Below are 19,113 nucleotides of genomic sequence, written 5' to 3' on the forward strand. Positions count from 1 at the left end.
TCAGGTGAACCGCCCGCTTCAGCCTCCCAAAGTGCTGAGATTACAGGTGTGAGCCACCGCGCCCAGCCAGAATGTCTTTTCATTTATTTTTTATTTTATTTTATTTTATTTTGAGACGGAGTCTCGCTCTATCACCCAGGTTGGAGTGCAGTGGTGCGATTTCGGCTCACTGCAAGCTCCGCCTTCTGGGTTCACACCATTCTCCTGCCTCAGCCTCCTGAGTAGCTGGGACTACAGGCGCCCGCCACCACGCCCGGCTAATTTCTTTGTATTTTTAGTAGAGACGGGATTTCACCATGTTAGCCAGCATGGTCTCGATCTCCTGACCTCATGATCCGCCTGCCTCGGCCTCCCAAAGTGCTGGGATTACAGGTGTGAGCCACTGCGCCCGGCCGTCTTTTCATTTATTTAGGTCTTCTTCAATTTCTCTTAACACTATTTTTAGTTTTTCAGTGTATCACAGTACCCTCCTTTTTTTTTTTTTCTGTAATGCCTTTGAAAAAATTGGGCTGGTTGTGGTGGCTCATGCCTGTAATCCCAGCACTTTGGGAGGCCAAGGTGGTGGATTGCTTGAGCTTAGGAGTTTGAGACCAGCGTGGGCAAAATGGTGAAACCCCCCGTCTCTACTACAAAAAAAAAAAAATTGGCTGGACTTGGTGGTGCGTGCCTGTAACCCCAGCTACTCAGGAGGCTGAGGCAAGAGAATCATTTGAGCCCAGGAGGCAGAGGTTGCAGTGAGCCAAGATCGTCCCACTGCACTCCAGCCTGGGTGACAAAGCGAGACCCCATCTCAAAAAAAAAAAAAAAAAGAAAGAAAGAAAGAAAGAAAAAACTGGGCCAGTTGTCCTATAGAATGTTCTTCCTTCTGGATTTGTTATTTAACTTTTTTTTAATAGAGACGAGGTGGCGCACACAACCACACCTGGCTAATTTTTTTTTTTTTTTTTTAGTGGAGACAGAGTTTCACCATATTGGTCAGGCTGGTCTTGAACTCCTGACCTCGTGATCTGCCCGCCTCAGCCTCCTAAGGTGCTGGGATTTCAGGCATGAGCCACGCACCTGGCTTAACTTTTCTTTCTTCCTTTCTTCCTTCCTTTCTTTTCTTTTCTTTCTTCCTTTCTTCCTTTCTTTTCTTTTCTTTCTTTCTTTTTCTTTCTTCCTCTCTCTTTCTCTTTCTTTCTTTCTGTCTCTCTTTCTCTCTCCCTCTCCCTCCCTCCTTGCTTCCTTCCTTTCCTTCCTTTTCTTCCCTTCCTTCCTTTCTTCATTCCCTCCTTCCCTTTCTTTCTTCTTTCTTTCTTTCCTTCCTTCCTTCGTTCCCTCCTTCCCTCCTTCCCTCTTTCTTTCTTCTTTCTTTCTTTCTTTCTTTCTTTCTTTCTTTCTTTCTTTCTTTCTTTCTCTTTCTTTCTTTCTTTCCTTCCTTCCTTCCTTTCTTTCCTTCTTTCTTTCTTTTTCTTACTCTGTTGCCCTGGCTGGAGTGCATTGGCTTGATCTCGGCTCACTGCAACCTCCGCCTCCCAGGTTCAAGCGATTCTCCCGCCTCAACCACCCGAGTAGCTGGGAGTACAGGTATGCACTACCACGCCTGGCTAATTTTTGTATTTTCAGTAGAGACACAGTGTCACCATGTTGGCCAGGCTGGTCTCAAACTTCCGGCCTAAAGTGATCTGCCCGCCTCAGCCTCCCAAAGTGCTGGGGTTAGAGGCATGAGCCATCGTGCCCGGCCTTTTCTTCTATTTCTTATATTTTCTGCAAACTGGAAGTTAGCCGCCTCGTTTCAGATGAGGCAGAGAAATGAAGAGTTGGTGTCTCTGTGTTGCCCAGGCTGGTCTCGAACTCCTGGGCTCAGGCAATCCTCCCACTTTGGTTTTCCCGTCCCCAGCCATTACATCTTTTTATAGAGATGGGGTCTCACTATGTTGACCAGGCTGGTCTTGATCTCCTGGCCTCACGTGATCTTCCTGCCTCTGCCTCCCAAAGTGCTAGGATTACAGACGTGAGCCACTGCTCCCAGCCACAATGCAACAATAAAAAGACATATAGCCCAATTAAAAATGGGCAGAGGATGGCTAGGCATGGTTGGTTCACACCTGTAATCCCAGCACTTTGAGACGCCAAGGTAGGAGGATCACTTGAGTCCAGGAGTTTGAGATCAGCCTGGACAACATAGCAAGACCCCATTTATTTTTTTTTTAGACCCAGTCTCACTCTGTCGCCCAGGCTGGAGTGCAGTAGGGCAATCTCAGCTTACTGCAACCTCCACCTCCTGGGTTCAAGTGATTCCCCTGCCTCAGCCTCCTGAGTAGCTGGGGCTACAGGCACGTGCCACCGCGCCCAGCTAATTTGTATATTTTTAGTAGAGATGGGGTTTTGCCATATTGGCCAGGCCAGTCTTGAAATCCTGACCTCAGGTGATCCACCCGCCTTGGCCTCTCAAAGTGCTGGGATTACAGGCTTGAGCCACTGTCCCCAGCCCCCATTTCTTTTTCTTTTTCTGCTTTTTTTTTTTTTTTCCTGAGACAGAGTTTCGCTCTTATTGCCCAGGCTGGAGTGCAATGGCATGAGCTCAGCTCACCAAAACCTCCACCTCCCGAGTTCAATCGATTCTCCTGCCTCAGCCTCCCGAGTAGCTGGGATTACAGGCATGCGCCACCATGCCTGGCTAATGTTGTATTTTTAGTAGAGATGGGGTTTCTCCATGTTGGTCAGGCTGGTCTCAAACTCCTGACCTCAGGTGATCCACCCGCCTCGGCCTCCGGAAGTGCTGGGATTACAGGCGTCACCACGCCTGATCCCCAGCCCCCATTTGTTAAAAAAAAAAAAAAAAAAGGTAGAGAATTTGAATAGACATGTATCCAAAGAAGATATACAAATGGCCAATAAGCACATGGAAAGATGTTCAACATCAGTCACTGGGGAAATGCCCATCAAAATAACAGTGAGATGCCACTTCACCCCCACTAAGATAACTAAAATAAAAGGGACAGATAGTAACAAGTGGTGCCAAGAATGTAAAGGAATTAGAATCCTCATACATTGCTGGTAAGAATGTAAGATGGCACAGCTACTTTGAAAACAGTTTGTCAACTTGTCAAAATGTGAAACATAGAGTTCCCATATGACCCAGTAATTATCCTCATAGGTGTATTCCCAAGATAAATAAAAACATATATCCATACAAAAACTGGTACACGAATGTTCATAGCATTATTTATAAGAGTCAACAAGTAGAAACAACCCAAATGTCCATCAACTAATGAGTAGATAAACAAAATGTGTGACCGGGCGTGGTGGCTCATGCCTGTAATCCCAGCATTTTGGGAGGTCGAGGCGGGTGGATTGCTTGAGTCCAGGAGTTGGAGACTAGCCTGAGCAACATAGCAAAACCCTGTCTCTTCGAAAAATATAAAAAAATTAGCTGGGTGTGGTGGTGTTTGCCTATAGTCCCAGCTACTCAGGAGGCTGAGGTCGGAGGATCACCTGAGCCCAGGAGGTCAAGACTGTGGTGAGCCATGATTGTGCCACTGGATTCCAGCCTGGGCAACAGAGTGAGACTCTGTCTCAAAAAACAAACAAACAAAAAAGCAAAGGAACCGTGCATGGTGGCTCACGCCTGTAATCCCGGCACTTTGGGAGGCCAAGGCTGGCAGATCACCTGAGGTTGAGAGTTAAAGACCAGTGTGGCCAATGAAACCAGAGACTGATAAAACCCAGTCTCTACTAAAAATACAAAAAGTAGCTGGATATAATGTTGCACGCCTGTAATCCCAGCTACTAGGAAGGCTGAGGCAGAAGAATTGCTTGAACCCAGGAGACGGTGGTTGCAGTGAGCTGAGATCATGCCACTGCACTCCAGCCTGGGTGACAGAGCGAGACTTCGTCTCAAAAAAATAAAAATACAAATAAAAATAGCAATAGAGCATTATTATTATCATTCATCCATTGCTATGGTCTGAATATATCTCCCCAGAATTAATATGTTGAAATCCTAACCCCCAAGGTGATGATATTAACAGGTGGGGCTTTTTGAGAGGTGACTAAGTCGTGTCGGCAGAGCTATTATGAACTGAATTAGTTCCCTTATAAAAGACACCTCAGGGCTGGGCGCAGTGGCTCACACCTATAATCCCAGCACTTTGGGAGGCCAAGGTGGGTGGGTCATGAGGTCAGGAGCTTGAGACCATCCTGGCTAACACAGTGAAACCCCGTCTCTACTAAAAATACAAAAAATTAGCCACGTGTTGTGGTACTGTATGTAGTCCCAGCTACTCGGAAGGCTGAGGCAGGAGAATCATTTGAACCTGGGAGGCAGAGGTTGCAGTGAGCCAAGATTGCGCCACTGTGCTTCAGCCTGGGTGACAGAGCAAGACTCCGTCTCAAAAACAAAACAAAACAAAACAAGGCACCTCAAAGAGTTAATGAGACTTTTGCACTATGACGTCAGGACACAGTGAACAGGTGCCATCTATGAACCAGGAGATGGTCTTCAGCAGACACTGAATTTGCTGGCACCTTACCCTTGGACTTCCCAGCCTCTAGAACTCTGAGAAACACATTTTGTTTCTAAGCTATCCAACTTAACGGTATTTTTCTTTTCTTTCTTTTCTTTTCTTTTCGAGACACAGTCTTGCTCTGTCACCCAGAGTGGAATGCAGTGTCACGATCTCAACTCACTACAGCCTCCACCTCCTGGGTTCAAGCAATTCTCCCACCTCCGCCTCCCGAGTAGCTGGGATTACAGGTGCACCACCAAGCCCAGCTAATTTTTGTATTTTTAGTAGAGACAGGGTTTCACCATGTTGGCCAGGCTGGTCTCAAACTTCTGACCTCAGGTGATCCGCCCGACTCGGCCTTCCAAAGTGCTGGGCTTACAAGCGTGAGTCACCGCCTGGCATTTTTTATAGCAGCCTGAATGGACTAAGACAGCCATAAAAAAGAATGAAGTACTGATATATGCTATGACATGAAGGAACTTTGAAAACATGATGCTAAGTGAAAGAAGCCAGTCACAAAAGACCACAAAATGTATAATTCCACTGCTATTTTCCAGATAGGAAAATCATAGAGACAGAAAGCATATGAGTGGTTGCCAGGGACAGGGAAAAGAGGAAATGGGGAGTGACTGATAATGGATATGGGCTTTCTTTGGGGGATGATGAAATATTCTAAAATTGTTTGTGGTGATGGCTTTACAACTCTGGGAATAGACTAAAAACCACTGAATTGTACACTTTAAATGGCAAATTTTTAAATATGTGAATTCTATTTCTTTTCTTTTTTTCTTTTTTTTTTTTTTTTTGAGATGGAGTCTTGCTCTGTCACCAGGCTGGAGTGCAGTGGTGCGATCTCGGCTCACTGCAACCTCCGACCCTCTGGTTCAAGCAATTCTCCTGCCTCAGCCTCCCGAGTAGCTGGGATTACAGGCAAACAGTACTAAAAATACAGCTAATTTTTGTATTTTTAGTAGAGACGGGGTTTCACCATGTTGGCCAGGATGGTCTCGATCTCCTGACCTCGTGATCCACCCACCTCGGCCTCCCAAAGTGCCGGGATTACAGGCATGAGCCACCGTGCCTGGCCTTGTGAATTATATTTCAATAAAACTGTTATACAGTTTTGTATAGAGCTACCCATATATGAGTACATGTACAATGGGTGAGATCTACTGAACTCTATAGACCATACCAATGTCTACTTCTTTTTTGGATATTGTACTATATGGTTATATGTTAACATTCACGAGGCCAAGGAGAGGATGCCTGGGACTTTCCAGTATGTTGTTTTGCAACTGTCAGTAAATCAATGATTATTTCAGAATAGTAATTTAAAAAAAAAAAAGACCTGAGGCAAAATGGTTAGGTTGTTTTATTTATTTATTTATTTATTTATTTATTTATTTTGAGACAGAGTCTCACTCTGTCTCCCAGGCTGGAGTTCAGTGGCATGATCTTGGCTCACTGCAACCTCTGCCTCTCAGGTTCAAGTGATTCTCCTGCCTCAGCCTCCTGAGTAGCTGCAATTACAGGCGTGCACCACCACACCTGGCTAATTTTTTTTTTTTTTGAGATGGAGTCTCGCTCTGTTGCCCAGGTTGGAGTGCAGTGGCGTGATCTCGGCTCACTGCAACCTCCACCTCCTGGGTTCAAGCGATTCTCCTGCCTCAGCCTCCCTAGTAGCTGGGACTACAGGCGTGCGCCACCATGCCCAGCTAATTTTTGTATTTTTAGTAGAGATGGGGTTTCACCATGTTGGCCAGGCTGGTCTCGAACTCCTGACCTCAAGTGATCCGCCCACCTCAGCCTCCCAAAGTGCTGGGATTTCAGCCGTGAGCCACCGTGCCCGGCCTATTTTTATTTTTTAGAGACAAGGTCTCACTTTTTCACCCAGGCTAGAGTGCAATGGCATGACCATAGCTCACTGCAGCCTTGAAGTCCTGGGCTCAAGGGATCCTCCTGCCGCGGCCTCTCGAGTACCTAGGACTATTTGTGTGCACCACCATGCCAAGCTAATTTTTTTTCTTTAAAAACAAGAAACAGTATGTCTTTCTTTTGGCCAGGCTAATTTTTATTTTTATTGTTGTTAGAGATGAGGACTTGTTATGTTGCCCAGGCTACTCTCGAACTCCTGGACTCAAGTGATCCTCTCATGCCTCAGCCTCTCAAGTCACTGGGATTACAGGCATGAGCCAACCGCAGCCAGCTCTATCCCTTCTTCCTAAATACCTTTTCATGTGTTTTTTTTTTTTTTTTTTTTGTATATGTACCAAAGTTTGCAATTAATCATGAAGGGATTTATTTTTATTTTATTTTTAGATTTGAACTAGTTATATAAATTATAGAACTGGGACATGAATATGGTAATTAATTCAAATACAGAAGAGTAATAAAAATAAAACTCTTTTCTTTGGACCATGAATTTCTCATACTGCTCTCTATATTCCCTAGAATTTCCTAGCAATGGCTTATAATTGCCCCTTTTCCCCCCAAGTTGGCAGAAAAAACCATTTTTAATCTTAGACTTTTCAATTACTTGCATTATTTTTGGGGTCCCATATCTTCCTCTATTATTGGTTTTGTTTTGCTTTTTTCATTTTATATTCAAGAATTTCAGCTGGATGAGGTGGCCCATGCCTGAAATCTGAGCACTGTGGGAGGATTACTTGAGCCTAGGAGTTTGAAACCAGCCTAAGCAACATAGCAAGACCCTGTCTTTACAAAAAATAGTAAAAGATTAGCCGAGTGTGGTGGTGTGAACCTGTAGTCCCAGCTACTCAGGAGGCTGAGGTGGGAAAATTGCTTGAGCACAGGAGCTCAAGGCTGCAGTGAGCCATCCATGCCACTACACTCCAGCCTGGGCCACAGAGCAAAAAAAAAATTCTTCATAATGCATAGCTCAGAGTGGAATTGGTGAGTCATAAGGTATGCACATGTTTAACTTCACTGTATATTGCCCAATTACTCTCTAAATGGCAGTTCCAGTTCTACTACATTTCCAGCAGTAGAATTTAAGAATTCCCATTGCAAAGCCTAGCATGATGGCACGCACCTGTAGTTCCAGCTACTTGGGAGGCTGAAGCGAGTTGATACCTTGAGCCTAGGAGTTTGAGTCAAACCTGGGCAACACAGTGAGAATCCCTGTCTTCAAAAAAAAAAAAACAACAACAACAACAAAAACAAACCCATGCTCATTAACACTTGGTATTATTAGATATTTAAATATTTGTCCAGGCAGGGTGTGAGGCTCACATCTGTAATCCTAGTACTTGGGGAGGCCAAGCTGAGAGGATCACTTGAGGCTGGGAGTTCAAGACCAGCTTGAATAACACAGCAAGTTCCTCATCTCTGTTTTTAAAATTAAATATTTGTCCATCTAAAAGATTTGAAAGAATTGAGATGGCGTCTCAGTCTATCACCCAGGCTGGAATGCAATGGTACCATCTTAGCTCACTGCAACATCCTCTGAGAAGGTTCAAGCGATTCTCCTGCCTCATCCTCCCGAGTAGCTGGGATTACAGGCCCCCGCCATCATGCCCGGCTAATTTTTTTTTTTTTTGTATTTTTTGTTTTGAGACGGAGTCTTGCTCTGTCACCTAGGCTGGAGTGCAGTGGCGCAATCTCGGCTCATTGCAAGCTCCGCCTCCCGGGTTCACCCCATTATCCTGCCTCAGCCTCCCTAGTAGCTGGGACTACAGGCGCCCGCTACCACGCCCGGCTAATTTTTTGTATTTTTAGTAGAGACGGGGTTTCACCGTGTTAGCCGGGATGGTCTCGATCTCTTGACCTCGTGATCCGCCCGCCTCGGCCTCCCAAAGTGCTGGGATTACAGGCTTGAGCCACCGCGCCCGGCCTCTCTCATGGTTTTAATTTGCTTTTTGCTGATTACTGAGGAACTTGAGAATCTCTTTTTTTTTTTTTTTTTTTTGAGATCGAGTCTCACTCTATTGCCGAGGCTGGAGTGCAGTGGCACAATCTCAGCTCACTGGTTCAAGTGATTCTTTTGTCTCAGCCTCCCAAGTAGCTGGGACTACAGATGCCCACCACCACGCCTCACTAATTTTTTGTATTTTAGTAGAAACGGGGTTTCACCATGTTGCCCGAGCTGGTCTCAAACTTCTAAGCTCAGGCAATCTGCCCACCTCGGCCTCCCAAGGTGCTAGGATTACAGGTATAGGCCACCGTGTCCAGCCGACTTCATATCTTTGGCCCATTATTCTGTTGCATTGTCTATTTTTAAACTGATTGTAGTGGTTTTTAATATATTATGATTCTATATGTTCCAAATATTTTTTCCCATACGTGCCCTGTTTTTTTTTTGTTTTGTTTTGTTGTGTTTTTTAAATTTTTTTAAATGGTGCTTTTCAATTAATAGATGTTTTTAAAACTCTTAGGTCACAAAGTATTAGCCTATATTTTCCTATAAAATTTTTAAGGTTTTTGCTTTTATTCTCCTGGGATAGATTTTTTGTGTAATTTATGATGTGAGACAGCAAATCAAAATTATTTAAACTCATATATGTGGGTATTGCACCTAACCATATATATACATTCAGCCAGGCATGGTGGCTCACGCCTGGAATCCCAGCACTTTGGGAAGCCGAGGCGGGTGGATCACTTGAGGCCAGGACTTCAAGACCAGCCTGGCCCACATGGCGAAACCCCGTCTCTATAAAAAATACAAAAATTAGCCGGGTGTGGTAGCACCTGCCTGTAGTCCCAGCTACTTGGGAGGCTGAGGCAGAGAATTGCTTGGACCCAGGAGGCGGAGGTTGCAGTGAGCAGAGATCGCACCACTGCACTCCAGCCTGGGCAACAGAGCAAGACTCTGTCTCAAAAAAAAATTAACAAAGTATATATATATAAATATATGTATTCCAGTAACAATATAAAATGTAACATACATATATGTGTAATATAGTTTAGTTAACATGTATTACAAAGAAAAGTTAATATATTAAATAATACATGTTATATATTATCTATTACAACTTATCTTTTATATATACACACACACCCACACTCTTTAGTTAATACATATATTAGGGGAATATATAGATAGACCTCTAGATAGACCTCTTTCCATATCAGAAGATGTAGATTACCTTATATTAAAAAAATTTTTTTTGAGACAGAGTTTTGCTCTTGTTGCCCAGGCTGGAGTGCAGTGGTGCAACCTCTACTCACTGCAACCTCCACCTCCCAGGTTCAAGCAATTCTCCTGCCTCATCCTCCCGAGTAGCTGGGATTACAGGTATGCGGGATTACAGGATAATTTTGTATTTTTAGTAGAGACGGGGTTTCTCTATGTTGGCCAGGCTGGTCTCGAACTCCCAACCTCAGGTGATCCACCTGCCTCGGCCTCCCAAAGTGCTGAGATTATAGACATGAGCCACCACGCCTGGCCCCATATTTTAAATTATTTAATTTTTTTTTTCCCTAGAGATGAGTTCTTGCCATGTCGTTCAGGCTGGTCTTGAACTCCTAGGCTCAAGCGATCCTGCTGCCTCAGATTCCCAAAGTGCTGGGATTACAGGCGCGAGCCACTGTACCCAGCCTCCTCATTTTTTTAAACCATTGCGTTGTAAGATCATAGTGTGCTATGATTTCAACAGATTCCTACCAATAGACATTTAGGTTATTTTCAGTACTTGCTACTACACACATTGCCACAATAAACAGCCTTGGGTGCATATATAGTATACTCGTATTTCTTTTCTTCTTAAAAATGTTTTTTGTCTTACCAAGAAGCTTGAATCTGAAGCGCATACAGTGTGCTTTTACAAACATAGTTGTAGGATTAATGCTTAGATTAGAACCACTGAATCTAAAATATGTACATTTACATTTTTAAAAAAATTACCCTCCCAAAAAAGAGTGAGCCAATTTATATCCCCACCAATAATGTATGAGAATGCCTGTTCCCCTCTACTTTAACCTTTCTTAAATGTAAAACCAATCTTACTCCATCAAATACAGGCCATCAGAGCCTACCTGGAAACAGCTATGCATATGTTCCTGTCAGATAAAGCCATTTGAATCCCAAATGAAATTCCTAAAGCTAAAAGGAGATAAGGGTGCCTAAATCTGCTGGGACCAGTCAGATGTTGAGGTTTATGCTCTGCTGGTCAAAAATTACCTTACATTTTATTAGAGTTTACATCAGTTATCACGATTTCAGCAGCTGGTCTAACTCAGACTAGCGGAGACAATAAGGAGACTCATTAGCTCACAAAACAGGACGTTTGCAACACGGTTCAGCTTCAGGGCTGGTTGATGTAGTGGCTCAAGCCGCTAAATTTCTCAAGCACCCAAAATCTTTTCTTCTCTTTCTCTGCCATTTGCGGAGGTGGCTTCATCCTTCATTCAACCATCCTAAGGTAAGATGGTTGCCAGAGCAATGGATATGATATATGATACATTTCTGTCTCATGCGTTGTGTGAGGAGACCACCAAACAGGGTTTGTGTGTGCAGCAAGGCTGTTTATTTCACCTGGGTGCAGGCGGGCTGAGTCCGAAAAGAGAGTCAGCAAAGGGTGGCGTGATTACCACTAGTTCCTTTAGGTTTTGGGATAGGCGGTGGAGTTAGGAGCAATGTTTTGCAGGCAGGGGGTGGATCTCACAAAGTACATTCTCAAGGGTGGGGAGAATTACAAAGAACCTTCTTAAGGGTGGGGGAGATTATAAAGTACATTGATCAGTTAGGGTGGGGCAGAAACAAATCACAGTGGTGGAATGTCATCAGTTAAGGCTATTTTCACTTCTTTTGTGGATCTTCAGTTGCTTCAGGCCATCTGGATGTATTCGTGCAGCACAGGAGATATGATGGCTTAGTTTGGGCTCAGAGGCCTGACAATTTCCTATTCATGCTTTCTTGTGGTTTGCTTTGCTTTTGCTTTTGCTTTTGCTTTTTTTTTTTTTTTTTTTTTTTGAGACAGAGTCTCACTCTGTCTCCCCAGGCTGGAGTGCAGTGGTGCAATCTTGGCTCACTGCCACCTCTGCCTCCCAGGTTCAGGCGATTCTCCTACTTCAGCCTCCCTAGTAGCTGGGACTACAGGCCTGCGCCACCACACCTGGCTAATTTTGTATGTTTAGTAGAGACGGGGTTTCGCCCTTTAGGCCGGGCTGGTCTCGAACTCCTGAACTCAGGTGATCCGCCTGCCTCGGCCTCCCAAAGTGCTGGGATTACAGGTGTGAGCCACTGCTCCTGGCCTTTCCTATGGTTTTCTAAGTGTGCGTGTGCATGCACACACACACGTGCACGCACACACGCACCCTCTGGCATGCATCTCCTTGGCCCAGGTGGGCCCAGATGGGCCCAGGTCTGTCCACCCTGAATATACCATGATCAGGGTAAAGTGAGTATTGCACAGTCAACTATAACATTCACTACTGTGCTTCCATTTTCAAAGACTGAAGCAGAGACTACCAGAAGTCCCGCCCCCCTCAAAGCCATTCTACCCTCTTCCTGTATCTGATTCTTCCTGCCATGTGACATCCAGAATGAAGACATTTCCTAACTTCCTGTGTTATTAGGGATGGCCATGAAAATAAGTTCTGGCCAAGCTGAAGTAGCCCATGCAACCTCTTGGAAGTGTGTGTGTGTGTGTGTGTGTGTGTGTGTGTGTGTGTAAGAGATGGAGGCTTGCTCTGTTGCCCAGGCTAGAGTATAGTGGCATGATTACAGTTCACTGCAAACTTGAACTCCTGGGCTCAAGCGATCCTCCGGCCTCAGCCTTCGAGTAGTTACGATTACAGGGGTGAGCTACAGTGTCCAGTCCAGGCAGTTTTCTTAAAGGGAGAGGGCAAACATTTATCTTTCTTTTCTCCCTCCTGCTGATAGGATGTGATATTGTGACATAATAAGAAATAGGCCGGGCATGGTGGCTCACGCCTGTAATCCCAGCACTTTAGAAGGCCAAAGTGGGCAGATCACTTTCGGCCAGGAGTTTGAGAGCAGCCTGGCCAACACAGTGAAACGCCGTCTCTACTAAAAATACAAAAGTTAGCTGGGCATGGTGGCACATGCCTGTAATTCCAGCTACTCGGGAAGCTGAGAAGGAGAATCACTTGAACCCGCGAGGCGGAGGCTGCAGTGAGCCAAGATCGCACCACTGCCCTCCAGCCTGGGTGACAGAGCGAGACTCTGTGTCAAAAAAAAAAAAAAATAGAAATATACATTTTGATCTTTGTTGCCCCTGGCTTCTGGCCAGAGCTCCTAAAACCTTTGCAGTTTCTAAAGCAAAAAATGTTAGGAGCATCTTTCGTTCTACCATTTGGTCTTTGACCCTGTCTCCTAATACGAGCGCCTAATCCTTTGGAATTTTCTGGGTGACAGGAAGACCTATTGTTCTAATGAAGCCAAACTTGGTGGGCTCTTGGATAGCTTCAGGATGGGGGCTGGTCACCAGAATGACCAAACCATGATTAGCATCCTGAAACTTTCAGCCTCACCCTCCGTCTTCTGGGTGAGGGGAAAGGGCTGGAGATTAAGTTAATAATGGATCACGCCTGCATGAAGAAGTCTCCATAAAGGCAGAGTGTGGGGACTCAGTCTGTAAACCTAGCACTTTGGGAGGCTGAGGCAGGAGGATCACTTAAGCCTCTGGAAGTTGAGGCTGCAGTGAGTCGTGATCATGCCTCTGCACTCCAGCCTGAGTAGTGACAGAGCAAGATGCTGTCTCAAAAAAAAAAAAAAAAAAAAAAAAAAAAAGGCTGGGCGCAGTGGCTCACGCCTGTAATCCCAGCACTTTGGGAGGCCAAGGCAGGCGGATCACCGGGTCAGGAGATCAAGACCATCCTGGCTAACATGGTGAAACCCCATCTCTACTAAAAATACAAAGAAATTAGCCTGGTGTGGTGGTGGGCGCCTGTAGTCCCAGCTACTCCCAGGAGGCTGAGGCAGGAGAATGGCGTGAACCCAGAAGGCGGAGCTCGCAGTGAGCCGAGACTGCACTCCAGCCTGGGTGACACAGCGAGACTCCGTCTCAAAAAAAAAAAAAAAAAGAAAGAAAAAAGAAAAGAAAAAGAAAGAAGGAAAGGCCGGGCGCAGTGGCTCACGCCTGTAATCCCAGAACTTTGGGAGGCCGAGGCGGGCGGATCACGAGGTCAGGAGATCGAGACCATCCTGGCTAACATGGATAAACCCCGTCTCTACTTAAAAAAAAATACAAAAAATTAGCCAGGCGTGGTGGCGGGCGCCTGTAGTCCCAGCTTCTTGGGAGGCTGAGGCAGGAGAATGGTGTGAACCTGGGAGACAGAGCTTGCAGTGAGCCGAGATCGTGCCACTGCACTCCAGCCTGGGCGAAAGAGCGAGACTCCGTCTCAAGAAAGAAAGAAAGAAAGAAAGAAAATCTCCATAAAAATCTCTGAACTTGCAGGCTAGTAAACGCCCACATGCTGGGGGTGTGGCGCACCCCTGCTCCCCGGGGACAGAAGCTCCTGTATTCAGACGCTTCTGCACCTTGCCCTATGTACCTGTTCATCTGGCTGGCCAGGTATATCCTCTATCACATTCTCTATAATAAACTAGTAACTGAAAATGTTTCCTTGAGTTTTGTAAGCCATCATAGCAAATTATTGGACCTAGAAAAGGGGTCATGGGAGCCTCGATTTGTAGTCAAGTCAGACAGAAGTCTGAGTAAACTAGGGACCCACTACTTGAGATTGGCAACCGAAATGGGGGGAAGTCTTGTGATACTAAGCCTGTGGGGTCTGCTCTAAGCTCACGTCATTTGTGTCATAGTTGAATTGTGGAACCCCCAGTTGATGCCTGGAGAGTTGAAGAGGGGGTTGGTGTGGGAAAAACCCCACACATCTGGTGCTGGAAGTGTTGAGTGTTATAGAGAAAACCATTTGCTAGGCTGAGAGCAGTGGCTCACGCCTGTAATTCCAGCACTTTGGGAGGCTGAGGGAGGATCCTTTGGGAAGATTGCTTGAGCCCAGGAGTTCAAGATCAGTGGTAATATAGTGACACCCTGTCTCCACAAAAATAAAAATAAAAAAAAAGCCAGGTGTGGTGGTGTGCGCCTGTGGTCCCAGCTCCTCAGGAGACTGAGGTGGGAAGATCACCTGAGCCCAGGACGTCAAGGCTGCAGTGAGCTACGATCACACCACTGCACTCCAGCCTGGGTGACACAGCAAGACCATGTCTCAAAAAATACGACCAGGCGTGGTGGCTCACACCTGTAATCCCAGCACTTTGGGAGGCCAAGGCGGGCAGATTACTTGAGGTCAGGAGTTCGAGACCAGCCTGTGCAACATGGTAAAACCCTATCTCTACTAAAAATACAAAAATTAGCCAGGCATGGTGGTGCACACCTGTAGTCCCAGCTACTTGGGAGGTTGAGGTGGGAGGATCACCTGAACCTGAGGTGGGAGGTTGACGCTGCAGTGAGCTGTGATCAGGTCACTGCACTCGTGCCTGGGTGACCTAGGGAGATCCTGACTCAAAAAATAAAATAAATTTAAAAATACAGTTTTTTTTCCCCTATACACTGAAGTACAGGTGTAATGACTGGTCCTAGAACCATCATGTTGACCCCAGCAAGCGACCCTGTGCCACTTTTGGACCCCTGTTATGGGTTGGCTTGTGTGCCCTCCAAAGAGATATGTTAAAGTCCTGCCCCTGGGCCAGGTGCGGTGGCTCACGCCTGTAATCCCAGCACTTTGGGAGGCTGAGGTGGGCGGATCATCTGAGGTCAGGAGTTCAAGACCAGCCTGGCCAAATGGTGAAACCCTGTCTCTACTAACAATAACAAAAATTAGCCTGCCATAGTACCCAGCACCTGTAATCCCAAATACTCCGGAAGCTGAGGCAGGAAAATCCCTTGAACCTGGGAGGCAGAGGCTGCAGTGAGCCGCGATCGCACCTCTGCACTCCAGCAACAGAGCAAGACTTCATCTCAAAAAATAAAATAAAATAAAAAAGTCCTGCCTCCCAGCGCCTTGGAATGGGATCTTAGGAAACAGGGTCTTTACAGAAGTAATTGAGGAGGTCAGTGGGGGTAGGCCTGACTCCAATATGATGGGAACCTTCTGAAAAGGAAGTTTGGGCACAGACACGTGTGGACACACAGGACAGATGCCATAAAGGGAGAATCCATGGGAACAGGGAGGACGGGGTGCATATGCAATCTAATGAATGCCTGGGGACACCAGAAGCTGGGAGGGGAGCAAGGAACAGTTTCTCCCCTGGAGTCTTCAGAGGGACCAGGGCCCTGCTGACACCTTCACCTCAGACTTCAGCCCCACAACTGTGAGACAATACATTTCTCTTCTTCAAATCCACCCAGGTTTTTGGTAGTTTGTTATAGCAGACCTAGGAAACTAATAAAAACCACCTACTTTTGGTTTTTGTTTGTTTGTTTTTTGAGACAGTGTTTCACTCCCATCACCCAGGGTGGAGTGCAGTGGCGTGATCTCGGCTCACTACAACTTCCACTTCCTGGGCTCAAGTGATCCTTTTGCCTCAGCCTCCTGAGTAGCCGGGACTACACGCATGCACCACCATACCCAGCTAATTTTTTTTTTTTTTAAGTAGAGACAGGGTTTCACCATATTGGCCAGCCTGGTCTCAAACTCCTGACCTCAAGTGATCCACCTGCCTTAGCCTCCCAGTGTGCTGGGATCACAGGCATGCGTCACTGTGCCCGGCCGTGTGTGCGTGCATGTGTACGTGTGCGTGCATGTGTATGTGTGTGTGTGCGACAGGGTCTCGCTGTGTCACTCAGGCTGGAATGATATGGCACAATCAGGGCTCACTGCAGCCTCAACCTCTTGGGCTCAAGCAATCCTCCAACTTCAGTCTCCTGAGTATATGGGACTACAGGTGTGCAACACCACACATGGCTAATTTTATTTATTTATTTATTTATTTATTTATTTATTTATTTAATTTTTTTTTTTTTTGAGACAGGGTCTTGCTCTGTTGCCCAGGCTGGAGTATAATAGTGTGATCTTGGCTCACTGCAGCCTTGACCTCCCGGGCTCATGTGTGTGCCACCATGCCCAGCTAATCTTTGATTTTTTGTAGGGTTTCGCTATGCTGCCCAGGCTGATCTTGAACTCCTGGGCTCAAGCTGTCCTCCTGCCACGGCCTCCCAAAGTGCTAGGATCACACGCATGAACCTCCATGCCTGGCCCGAAGCTCTTTCATGTATTGATCGTTCTGATTCATCACACTAGTATTTATCACACATGGCAACTCTCTGGCTGCTGAGAATTTGTCCTTGGTTTCTGCTTGAGAAGCACTTCATTTAGAAGTTGCTTTAGGCCTAGCATGGTGGCTGGAAGGCCCAGGAAGGTGGATCACCTGAGGTCAGGAGTTGAGACCAGCCTGGCCAACATGGTAAAACCCCAACTCTACTAAAAATAAAAAAATTAGCCGGGTGTCTTGGAGGGCACCTGTAATTCCAGCTACTCCAGAGGCTGGGGCAGGAGAATCACTTGAGCCCAGGAGGCAGAGGCTGCAGTGAGTCGAGATCGTGCCATTGCACTCCATCCTGGGCAAGAGAGCAAGACTCTGTCTCAAAAAAAAAAAAAAAAAAGAAAAAGAAAAAAATTCCTTTAAGGGCTAGGTGCAATGGCTCACTCCTGTAATCCCAGTACTTTGGGAGACCAAGGCAGACAGATTGCTTGAGCCCAGGAGTTTGAGGCCAGCCTGGGCCACACAGCAAGACCTTGTTTCTACAAAAAAAATTTTTTTAATTAGCCAGGCATGGTGCCATGCACCTGTAGTCCAGCTACTCAGGAGGGAAGATAGCTTGAGCCCAGGAGTTTGAGAGTGTAGTGAGCTGTGATTGCGTCACTGCGCTCCAGCCTGGGCAGCAGAGCATGACCCTGTCTCTTAAATAAATAAATAGAAATAGAAATAGAGTCAGGCATGGTGGCACATGCCAGCCAGTAGTCCCAGCTACCCAGGACACTGATGTTGGAGGGGGGGTATCCCTTGAGCCCTGGAATTTGAGGCCAGCCTGGGCAATATAGCAAGACCTATCTCAAAAAGATAAAAATTCAAAATAGCAGTGACTTTAGGATTTAACTTTGCAGTAGCATGATAATAAACAGTATGTGGGCACTGAAATTACACAGCAGCACGTGGTTGTGTGGTAGTGCATCATGACCAGGAATAAGATCATGATGTCTGAGGCCGGGTGCAGTGGCACACGCCTGTAATCCCAGTAACTTTGGGAGGCTGAGGTGGGTGGATCACCTGAGGTCAGGAGTTCGAGACCAGCCTGGCCAACATGGCAAAATCCTGTCTCTACTACAAATACAAAAATTAGCTGGGTGTGGTGGTGCACGCCTGTAACCCCAGCTACTTGGGAGGCTGAGGTAGGAGAATCCCTTGAACCTGGGAGGCAGAGGTCGCAGTGAGCCGAGATTGCGTCACAACACTCTAGCCTGGGAAACAGAGCGAGACGCTGTCTCAAAAAAATAAATTAAAAAAAAGATCTTAATGTCTGATTTTTCATTATCATTGAAATGAAAGCAGAAAATATAAAAATTTATCAGGGCCAGGCACAGCAGCTCACGCTTGTAATCCCAGCACTTAGGGAGGCCAAGGTGGGCAATCACTTGAGGCCAGGAATTCCAGACCAGCCTGGGCAACGTGGCAAAATCCTGTCTTTACTGAAAAAAAAAAAAAAAAAATTAGCCGGGTGTGGTGGCGTGCACCCGTGATCCCAGCTACTCAGAGGCTGAGTTGGGAGGATCACTTGGGCCTGGGAGGTCGAGGCTGCAGTCAGCCAAGAGTTCACCACTGCTCTCTAGCCTGGACAACAGAGAGACCCCCCGTCTCAAAAAAAAATAATTATGTGGAGAACTTGTGGATTTCTGAGAGACAATTTGTCTGTAAACTCTGTGTTGAGAACTATTGCTATAGCATAGCCCTATATAGTAATATAGTATAGTAGAGTTTACTGTAGGGTTGACTGTACTCAGTGTCTGGCGAGATAAGGCCAATGTTGACTATGAAATGCTCATCTCATTCTGGAAGTCTCGGACTCCTCAGAGATCACAGAAAACAGGAAAAGATGAACATGGATGCAATTCTTTGGAAAAGATTCTGCCTGTCTGTAAGGATGAGAATCAGCTAACTGGGGCCTTCCACAAAGTCCCTCAAACTGGGTGGCTTAATCAGCAGAAATGTAGAAACATATTCTCTCAGTTCTCAGTTTTGTTTTGTTTTTTTGAGACAGAGTCTCACTCTGTTGCCCAGGCTGGAGTGCAATGGCACGACCTCAGCTCACTGCAACCTTGGCCTCCTAAAGTCCTGGGATTACAGGGGTGAGCCACTGAGCCCAGCCATATTCTCTCAGCTTTCAAGGCTAGAATTCCCAGGTTGGCTCCTTCTGGGCACTCTGAGGGACGGGCTGTTCCATGCCTCTCTCACAGCTTCTGGCATTCCTTGGCTCATAGATGCATCACTCCAGTCTCTGCCTCCATCTCCACATCGCTTTCTGCCTCCATCTCTCTGTGCCAGATTTCCCTCTTCTTATAAAGACATCAGTCTTATAAAGGCGCAGTGGCTCATGCCTGCAATCCTAGCACTTTGGGAGACTGAAGTGGGAGGATCTCTTGAGCCCAGGAGTTTGAGACTCACCCAGGCAGCAAGGCAAGA

General features: G+C 46.2%; 4 annotated features.

Annotated features, from left to right (window-relative positions):
• Positions 1,259-1,759: an enhancer, noted in NCBI's record as "H3K27ac hESC enhancer chr12:122927953-122928453 (GRCh37/hg19 assembly coordinates)". NCBI's record gives its function as "activates a minimal SCP1, AML or CMV promoter by ChIP-STARR-seq in primed H9 embryonic stem cells {active_cell/tissue: H9 hESC(primed)}" and the evidence as "EXISTENCE:reporter gene assay evidence [ECO:0000049][PMID:30033119]".
• Positions 15,834-15,883: an enhancer, noted in NCBI's record as "active region_7223". NCBI's record gives its function as "activates an Ori minimal core promoter by ATAC-STARR-seq in GM12878 lymphoblastoid cells {active_cell/tissue: GM12878}" and the evidence as "EXISTENCE:reporter gene assay evidence [ECO:0000049][PMID:35858748]".
• Positions 15,914-15,973: an enhancer, noted in NCBI's record as "active region_7224". NCBI's record gives its function as "activates an Ori minimal core promoter by ATAC-STARR-seq in GM12878 lymphoblastoid cells {active_cell/tissue: GM12878}" and the evidence as "EXISTENCE:reporter gene assay evidence [ECO:0000049][PMID:35858748]".
• Positions 15,994-16,043: an enhancer, noted in NCBI's record as "active region_7225". NCBI's record gives its function as "activates an Ori minimal core promoter by ATAC-STARR-seq in GM12878 lymphoblastoid cells {active_cell/tissue: GM12878}" and the evidence as "EXISTENCE:reporter gene assay evidence [ECO:0000049][PMID:35858748]".

The sequence above is a fragment of the Homo sapiens genome, chromosome 12, assembly GCF_000001405.40.
Source record: "Homo sapiens chromosome 12, GRCh38.p14 Primary Assembly".
NCBI classification, from domain to species: Eukaryota; Metazoa; Chordata; class Mammalia; order Primates; family Hominidae; genus Homo; species Homo sapiens.